Source organism: Homo sapiens, chromosome 6, assembly GCF_000001405.40.
Source record: "Homo sapiens chromosome 6, GRCh38.p14 Primary Assembly".
Lineage (NCBI taxonomy): Eukaryota > Metazoa > Chordata > Mammalia > Primates > Hominidae > Homo > Homo sapiens.
This window is the reverse complement of record NC_000006.12, coordinates 112,519,573-112,530,069: the sequence shown is the minus strand read 5'-3', so window position 1 is coordinate 112,530,069 and position 10,497 is coordinate 112,519,573.

Below are 10,497 nucleotides of genomic sequence, written 5' to 3'. Positions count from 1 at the left end.
TCACATCTGAAGACTTCCCACAGAATTACTGCTAATATATATGATATAGTGGTGTATATGCCAGATCACTGCCCTCGTTTGTCCTCTCATCTTCTTGCATTTTTCAGACCCCATTGTGACTTCCCACAGCATTACTTTGGTAGTGACAAAGACGTAAATTTAGTGTCTTATTGATCCAAAGCATCTTTTTCTACCACAACCAGAGATATAAACCTTGGAAGAAAAGAGTTTAAATCTCCAGGTTTTCCCTATCCCTCATCTCTAAGATTTGCACATGGAAATCTGAAGGCTATAGTCTGATCCTGACACTATCTCCAGGGTTTCCAAGATGAATTATGCTCACCCTAGAAGGAGTAAAGGAGGGGATGAGGGAAATGGATTCTAAATAAAAGAAGTCCCAAGGCTACCCAAATATATATCCTTCCTCTTGATGTGGAAGATCTCAAAGATATAAATAATGAAATATTGAAATGAGGTAGGGAATTGTATTCATCAGAAATGCACCTTGAGGATTTTATATGAGAAAGTGTTCGGCGTAAGCAAAAAAATATGTGTGTCATTGAACATGGAGTCACCTGGTCCTCAACCATCTTAGGAAGCCCTGCAGATCAGGGTGTCAAGAGTACGAATCCCAGCGGACACTTACGACTAGAAAGTGGTGTACTAGAACAGGCTGTATGGAGAGTAAGAAGGAGAAAAGGAAATGAGTTAACTAAGCCTGAGAAAACCAGAGAGATCTTTAGCTGCTGTTGCTTGTATGAAAGTTTGTAGAAAGTTTATGATTTCTGGGAAGTTTTCTTCATGGTGCATTGTGTAAAACCCTAGAGTCGCTCTCCCTCTCCCTCTCCCTCTCCCTTTCCCTCTCCCTCTCTCCCCTCTCCCTCTCCCCACGGTCTCCCTCTCCCTCTCTTTCCACGGTCTCCCACTGATGCCCAGCCGAAGCTGGACTGTACTGCTGCCATCTCGGCTCACTGCAGCCTCCCTGCCTGATCCTCCTGCCTCAGCCTGCCGAGTGCCTGCGATTGCAGGCGCGCGCCACCACGCCTGACTGGTTTTCGTATTTTTTTGGTGGAGACGGGGTTTCGCTGTGTTGGCCGGGCTGGTCTCCAGCTCCTAACTGCGAGTGATCCGCCAGCCTCGGCCTCCCGAGGTGCCGGGATTGCAGACGGAGTCTGGTTCACTCAGTGCTCAGTGGTGCCCAGGCTGGAGTGCAGTGGCGTGATCTCGGCTCGCTACAACCTCCACCTCCCAGCCGCCTGCCTTGGCCTCCCAAAGTGCCGAGATTGCAGCCTCTGCCCGGCCGCCACCCCGTCTGGGAAGTTTGGAGCATCTCTGCCTGGCCGCCCATCATCTGGGACGTGAGGAGCCCCTCTGCCTGGCTACCCAGTCTGGAAAGTGAGGAGCGTCTCTGCCCGGCCACCCATCGTCTGAGATGTGGGGAGCGCCTCTGCCCCGCCGCCCCGTCTGGGATGTGAGGAGCGCCTCTACCCGGCTGCGACCCCGTCTGGGAGGTGAGGAGCGTCTCTGCCCAGCCGCCCCATCTGAGAAGTGAGGAGACCCTCCGCCTGGCAACCGCCCCATATGAGAAGCGAGGAGCCCCTCTGCCCGGCAGCCACCCCGTCTGGGAAGTGAGGAGCGTCTCTGCCCGGCAGCCACCCCATCCGGGAGGGAGGTGGGGGTCAGCCCCCGCCAGGCCAGCCGCCCCGTCAGGGAGGGAGGTGGGGGGGTCAGCCCCCCGCCCGGCCAGCCGCCCCGGCCGGGAGGGAGGTGGGGGGGTCAGCCCCCACCCGGCCAGCCGCCCGGTCCGGGAGGTGAGGGGCGCCTCTGCCCGGCCTCCCCTACTGGGAAGTGAGGAGCCCCCCTGCCCAGCCACCACCCCGTCTGGGAGGTGTACCCAACAGCGCATTGAGAACGGGCCATGATGACAATGGCGGTTTTGTGGAATAGAAAGGGGGGAAAGGCGGGGAAAGGATTGAGAAATCGGATGGTTGCCGTGTCTGTGTAGAAAGAAGTAGACACGGGAGACTTTTCATTTTGTTCTGTACTAAGAAAAATTCTTCTGCCTTGTGATCCTGTTGATCAGTGACCCTACCCCCAACCCTGTGCTCTCTGAAACTTGTGCTGTGTCCACTCAGGGTTAAATGGATTAAGGGTGGTGCAAGATGTGCTTTGTTAAACAGATGCTTGAAGGCAGCATGCTCGTTAAGAGTCATCACCACTCCCTAATCTCAAGTACCCAGGGACACAAACACTGCGGAAGGCCGCAGGGTCCTCTGCATAGGAAAACCAGAGACCTTTGTTCACTTGTTTATCTGCTGACCCTCCCTCCACTATTGTCCTATGACCCTGCCAAAACCCCCTCTGTGAGAAACACCCAAGAATGATCAATAAAAAAAAAAAAAAAAAAAAAAAAAACCCTAGAGTCAGTCCCTTTAAAGAGATAAACTATAAAAAAATTATTCTTTTATTATTCTTTTATTCTTTCAGGTTGCTGGGATTGTATTTGTACATAAATGATGTTCATATTCATTCATCTATTCTTTTATTCATACCCTCAAAAACAATTCTTGGGTTCCTACTGTGTCCTAGGCATTGTTTAGGGATTTTTTATGTGATTTTTCTATAGGGAATGAGACACATGGGTGACCCGGATTTATCAGGATTATATAACAGGAAAATAAATCAATCTTTTCATCACATTCCATGCAAACCCACTGAAGACTAGCTTCCTTTCATGAGTTTATAACAGTTACTGAAAACAACAAAGACAAGTATGAATTCTTCAAAGTCCTATAGTATCACCTGAGAGGAAAACATTCTGAAAGTTTTAAATGATTACCTATTCACATTTAAGAAGAATCTTCATGGAAAATTTGACAATGTCTCCGAAGAGGGCATTATATTAAATAATATGCCACATTTTAGGGAAAAAATGTTTTGTAATATATAAGAAATTTTTTGTCTACAAATAGTATTAAACCTGGTTCAGATTGATTTATAAGTATGAAATTTGTTTATTCATGTAAGCGGAAGTTCAGAGAGAGGGAGGTTTTCAGGGTTGGCTTAACTTAGCATCTGCTTAATTTCTTTGTTTTCTCTCAAAGAGGACTTTTGCTGACTTCTCTCAGAGGAGGAAAATGGGTGTAGAGTTCCAGGCCTTATCTCTACAGGCAATGGCAGTAACAGGAAAAGAAAGTCCGTCTTTTGATGCCTCTCTCTTAAGCATGCGGAAACTGCATTCTAAGAAAACCCAGAAAGCCTCCTCCTCATTCCCATTTGCCTGAATTGGGTCACATGCCCAGTCATGAATCAATTCCTTTGGCCGAGGGAAGTGTCGTTTTCTGAAGAGCCAAAGCTTGATTTTCTGAATTACTCACTTCGAAAAGGAATATGTTGCCCTTCAACAAATCAGGTCCACCCATAAAACTAAGGAAGGGATAGAATTCCCCTAAAGCTTCGGTGCCCCATGGGCAAGAACTAGACTCCTGGATGAACATTTAACTACCATAATGAAAGGGGAAGGGGTAACAGATGATCACCAGGCAAAAATCCACTACAGGAAATCTTGTCATCCACAGAAATGCCTCCTAATGCTTTCTACCTAAAGAAAAGAATGGAGCCATTCAGCATCCTGGCAATATATTTGGCCACATGGATGCTTTATAGCATTTGATAAACATGCCTTGTTGACAAGTTTACACGTCATAGATTTCATGTTTCTGTGCATTCCTATGTAATCATGTTAATGCTACAACCAAGAGGCAATGGGGTCTGTTTGCTAGAGGCCTTTCTCCTTGATTAATGAAAAATGGAAAGTTTTGGAAGAGCATTTCATGTTTTCCTGAGTATCGTTATTTGTTTACAAGATAAAAACCTTTACTTGATTATAGAAATACTAACATTATCTGATAGGTAACACCACATGAGAATTCTACTACCTTAAAGATTCAGGCAAAGTGTGGTAAACTCACTGCAGATTAATATATGGCAATCTTATTCTGAAAGAGGACTTCTAGTGAATTGTCTATGTGACATTTGTTAACAATTTAAAATGTACTCACAGTGATTGCAGAGAAAGCATTAATTAAATTAAGAGAGTTTCTCTGTCAGCTATGTTCATGGAGGCCATAAAATTTTAAGATAAAACAGCAATAAAATTTATTGACAATTATACACTACAATTGAAGTGTGTTTATTTTTCTATAGATATTTTGTATAGGATTATATAGCCTGTTCTTGAGATAAATATTGCTATAAGAACTGACTTCTGGTCTGAATCATCAAGCTCTAAGGCGTTAACTTGGTAAGTAAGTGAAATATATTTTTCCTTTATTACTTTTTAAATTTGTACTAATCAAAAATGCCTTTCTTTGTTAATACAACTAAATAAAAATATTAATAATTCCAATTAGTATACTCCAACAGACGATGCAAATAGAGCCAAATTAGGAAAATTCAAGTAGCTGTTGACTCTTTTTTTAGCCAATCCTTAATTGTAAGAAGTCATGTATACTTTAAACTTTGTTTTCCCCATAGTTGAGTGTTTTTATAAACTTTCTCAGAATATTTCTGTTTCTATTCAAGGATCCTTTCAGGAATATATACAACTTCAGTGTTTTATTCTTCTTAAATATAATTCCTTGGTGCCTTGTCATTGGTTTTCTCATTTAGCAAGTATTGTCCATAACAATGTCCAACTAATCAGCCATTGTCTTCCTACATTTTCACAGTAGGAAGAGATCACCTTCCCTTTTTTTTTTTTTTTTTTTTTAATGCTGTTTCACTCTGTTGCCCAGGCTGGAGTGCAGTGGCGCGATCTCGGCTCACTGCAACCTCTGCCTCCCGGGTTCAAGCGATTCTCCTACCTCAGCCTCCTGAGTAGCTGAGATTACAGGCACTTGCCACCATACCTGGCTGATTTTTGTATTTTTAGGAGAGATGAGGTTTCACCATGTTGGCCAGGCTGGTCTCAAACTCCTATTACAGGCGTGAGCCACCGCACCCAGCCTGAGATGATCTTTTAAGCCATATAGCTGGTAAAAAAATAAAGAAAGAAAAGGAGAAAAGAGGACTCTGATAAATACCCACATTGGCCTTAAGCAAGAAGAAGGCTTGATTCCCAACCACTCGCATCTATGGGTAAGGAGTGGACACCAAGAATAGAATGATTAGAATTACAGACACCGATAATTTTAAGAACAACATTTTTTAAAAAGTATTATTGATATAAATGGATGATGGGATAAAAGACAGGTATTAAAATAATTATGCATAGCTTCTTTATCTGTTGGTCTCCAGAAAATCCAGGCTATATCAAGAAAAAATAATAAACTACAAAGGAGCATGTAAAATATAACCCTATTCTTGTCCAAACTAATATTTATATGTAAATATTTTGTTAATAGCATTTACCCTTAAAGGTAAACTGAAGGTGAATGTTTTGTTTTTCTATACTTTTCTGTATTTTTTCAAATTTTCTAAAAGACTATATATTAATTTCCATTAGCCTTCTAAAAAAGTTATAATTCTATTTTCATTTCTAAGCACAGTTAAAAACTGTCAAACAGAAGTAGATATAAAATGGCTTAAACAAATTGAGTAATTATAAAGTTAATTACATGCTGTTTATCTCTCTCTTAACCTAATTCCCACCCTCTTGATAAACAATTGATATTTTTGTCTTTTTGCCTAGTAACAAAGGGTAGTCACTTTTCTAGGCCATAATCCCGTATCATCCAGCAATATGTTTGTAATCCTTTTTTGCATTTGCATTATAGTCAGCCTTGGTTAGTCTCAAGTTGCCTTTTACATGAGAAAACATTCTCCTTACCTAATGTGTGGATTGTTATTTTCCAGAAGGCTAGCTTGACTGATGGATCAGCTAACTCTTCTTTTTCCTAAATACACTTTGTTTCTTTCTTTCAGATATAATACGTCTGTCTTAATTGAGGCTCTTTCCTAATAGGAAATAGTATTAGTAAAGAGCCTCAGTTTTCAATGCCAGTGACCCTTCAACCATGTGTTCTCCAGAGGTTCTCAGCTTTCAATTCTATCCTTTCTATACATTTTTTCTTGCTAAGAGTTCTAGGTTTGTGGTCACAGGTGAACCTTTAGCATCTGGTGGCTGTTTCTAAGTTTTAAAGTACTCATACTGAATCATACTTCTAATGCTAATACTAATAAAAATAAAACTGAACATTTTCTTACTTTTTTAAGTTAGATATTGTATTTCTTTTTAAAATTTTTTTTCTTTTAGTTACTCTTTTTAATTACTAGATAAAAAGCATTGGCATTAACACTCCTGTTAATGTACCTGATGAGACAGAGCAGCTTAGCTCAGCAAGGGCAACCCAAATAGGTCTCCCACTCTGGAGTGAGATTGTCTCAGCACCATAAAGACAGTCCTATGGAGAAACTTGATGACCTGATCCCAAATCACTGCTACTGAAAATTCAGGAGGACTTCAGGCTAAAAAATCTAGATTGCATTATGGCTTGGCAGAGCTAGTGAAATTATGATTTCATATCTTCCTCTATAGGGAAAAATATAGGCAACTAGACAATTAACCCATAATATGGAATGAGAAGGAAATAGAATATATCACAATAGGAACCCTGAATATAATCACCTCCACTGTTTTAATGATAAGAAAAGTAAGCGTTCTGAAATATTTCACAATAATTTTTGATGAAAGAGTTTACCACTTACTTAAGAAAGATACTAAAATACCCCTTATAATGAACTGCCTTTTAGAAAAAGCAAACAAAAGTGTTAACTAATGGTCAACACTCTACTGGTTTAGATTTCCAAGGGATTAGCCATGTATATGGTTATTCTTCTTTTTTCCTATCAATAAAAACCAAGGTGAAACCAATAAAGTGAGGATTATCTTCACTGTCTTTAGAACTAATGTGGTTACAATACACTCAACATGAGTAGCTTTTTTAAAGAGACAGAGTCTCAAATCTTATAGCCACATCTACCATTTCATTATTGTAATCCCCTGACAGGTTCATCCTGCCTTCTGCACAGATGAAACCAATTCACTGAGACCATGGTATTTTTACCACAGTAAAAAAAAGAGTTTAATTAACACCCGGCTAACCATTTAGTAGACAAAGTTATTAAATCAGCATCCCTGAAGGCTCAGAGGTTAGAGTTTTTCAAAGATAGTTTGATGCAGCTGATTGGTTGGGGATGCACTCATAGGAGTATAGAAAACTGTCCTCATGAGTCCACCTCTGGGTAGGGAATCACAGAACACACTGGGTTATGAGTCAGAATGTGTCTGAAAAACATCTCAAAAGACTAATCTTAGTTTCTACCATGGTGATGTTATCTACAGGAACAATTGGGGAAGTCAAAAATCTTGCGACCTCTGACCACATGACTCCCGAACAGTAAGGGATTATAGAAACTACGCCTACATATTAGCAGAATTCAGACCCCTCCCATAATCATAATCTTGTGGTTTTTTATAATATTAGTCTTACAAAGGTGGTTTCAGCCCCCAAACAAGGAGGGGAAAAGTTTTAGGGAGGGACTATTATCATCCTTGCTTCCAAGTAAAACTATAAACTAAATTCCTCCCAAGGTTAGCTTAGCCTGTGCCCAGGAAAGACTGAAGACAGCCAGCCTGTGAGGCTAGAAGGAAGATGGAGTCAATGTGGTATATTTCTCTTACTGTCATATTCTTTGCAAAGGTGGTTTCAGTGTAAGTGAAGAGCAGAGGGCTTGTAGCACAACCAAACTATATAATAACTTCAAAGCTCCATTAAAAAAAAAAAAAACTTCCTCTTGACCATTTCCATAAGAATAAACAGAAGGTTGAGAAGTGAAAGGAGTCCTAAATGGAACACAAGATAGGGTGAAAAAGCTCATTGGTCACTTTCAAAGTGCACCTTCTTAAAGTAAGCAGACAAATCAGTTTCTGATAGCGAATGGGCAGATGACAGGAGCTTATTGGATTTCTTTCCCCAAGGACTCAATGAAGAAGTGAAAGAAGAGTGAGAGAGAAAAGCTACCCTGTGTGGAATGGAAGGCAGATGAGCTTCTACGAGTTCCATCCCTGCCATCAGCATAAGGATTGCCTGATTCAGACAACCGTGTGGACCCAGAGGAAAAGGCAGCATTGGCACACATCAGCAACAGGAAGGGAAGGTGAAGTCCCATGCCTCTCCCTACAGGTGTTCCTGGAAGGTAGGAACTGCTGGAGTATCCCTCTTTAACCAAAAAATTAAGTGGGAAGTGACTGGGGTGATGGGATAGGAAATGAGAGAGCACTTTTCTGAGAAACCCCAGAAAATAGTGTATTTATTGGTACTCTGTTCTGTAATGTAACCTGAGTGAGTATAATAAAGAATTTTGCTGGTCTTTGTCTCTGGTTCCTGGGAGGGAGGCTCTAAACCCTTGGAATTTCCCAAGTTATAGGGAATGTCTTTGTTATTAATCATGGCCCCTGGAAATTTGTCTGAGTTTGTGCTAATGAGATGACGTATAGTGGGCCCATGAATAGTTTCAAGAATAGGGCTGGCCTTGCTGGAAAGGCCAATCACCCATTTACAGGGTCGAAACTTTGATCCAGCCCAATCCCAAGGAGGAGAAAGGGGCTGGAGATTGAGTTCAATCACATGGCCAATGATTCAGTCAATCATGCTTCTGTGGAAAGACTCCAACAAAAACTCTGAACACCTGAAGATTGAATGAGCTTCTGGGTTAGTAATATATATTGATGAGCCAAGAAGGTGATATATCCTGAGGACAAGGAAACTTGGCATCTGGGACCTTCCCAGACCTCACACTGTCCATCTCTTCTTTTGACTGGTCCTGATTTGTATTATTTATAATAAAACTATGATTATATGTATAGTGCTTTGTTGAGTTCTAGGAGTCATTCCAGCAAATTATCAACCTGACAGGGTAGTGGGAGCCCCCAAATTAGTAACCAGTTGACAGAAGTACAGATGGCCCAAGAACTCTTAAATTCGCAGTTGGTGTCCGAAGTGAATGTAGTCATATAGGTGTTAAATCAAGTTTAGCTTAAAGCTGCCGACTTAAATATTTTGAGTTCAGCCTAAAGGTTTCTCTGTACATTGTAAACTATCCTAAATTGAGTTGTAAACAGACTGTAGCCTTCTCTTGTGCCAATCACGGAGTTTTGGACTGTCAAACGTGGCCAACTCTTCAAACAATGTTCAAATAAGGCAGATGCCACCCTGTAACCAATTCAGCTGTTTTTGTACCTCACCTCCATTTTCTGTACCTCACTTTCCTTTTTCTGTTCATAAATCTTCCACCATATAACTGCACTGGAGTCTCTGAGCCTATTCTGGCTTGGGAGACTAACTCAGTTTATGAATTGTTCTTTGATCAATTAAACTTTTTTAAATTTAATTTGGCTAAAGTTTTTGTCTTAACAGGTGGTGTCAGAAGTAGAATCCAAAGGAGAGCTTCTAACAACCCCCAGGAGTGCTGAGTGACCAAGTGAGGTATCATTGTGTCCATTGCTCCCTCAGAGCAACTGAGGATCATGGTAAGTTTTCTCTTGGATTCTAACGCTCAACAGATTTGGGTTTTGAGCTCCCCAAGTTTCTTTGAGCAAATTTCTAATCCAAACTGGGTTAGGAAGTTGTGACAGAATCTGGACTGGGTCCAGCATCAGATTGGATCTGATAACTAACTGAGTTGAATCCAATTAGAGGCCTCTTACGTCTCACTGGGTCAGAAAGAAACTGGTAGTAAATGGCAGTACTGCAGGAGGTATAAAATTTGGATTTTGGAAATTCATAGGGATTTTTGTTTTCTACCTCCTTTGTTTCATTTTTCTTACATGCTTAGGTAGGGAAAAAAATCATTGGCTACATTGATCAAGGTGACTTGAGTGCCAAATATATTTGAGGCAAAAATGAAATCCTTAGTTTCTGAAGAACTGAATAACTTCCAGCTTACACACGCATACGTATTAGGCCCTGGAAGCAGCAAATTCTTACAGAAATGGCAAAATCTTCTAAAGAGAAGTTACAGTGGAACATTCCAAATTAACAATACCGCACTGAAGAAGTGCATTTGAAAATAAGGACTCCCAAATTAGTCTCATCTAGGGATGCCTACTGACATGCAGAAGCTTCTAAAAAGATTTCAGTATTTTTTATTTAAAGACTTTATAAAAGATAAATAAAAAGCTTGTGACTAACTGATAAGAAAAATTAAATCTGCTAAACTTTTGGCTTAGATACTATTCCATTCCAAAGGTGGAAAGAAAGCTATCTTAGATAAAGTGTTTATAAAAGGTAGGTATTCAGGTATAATAGGCTTGTTTCTTTTTTAGGTCTATTGATGCAGAGGCCAAGCATAGAGAATGCTTTCTTTGCGCTGTTCCTTAGGGGCTTCACCCTGAACTCAATAATTTTAGCTAAGAAATGGTAGCTAAGTTGAAAAGAACACCCTATTGACTAAAATACACCTTTCTGGAATTTAATTGGCTATCTTGAAACTCTT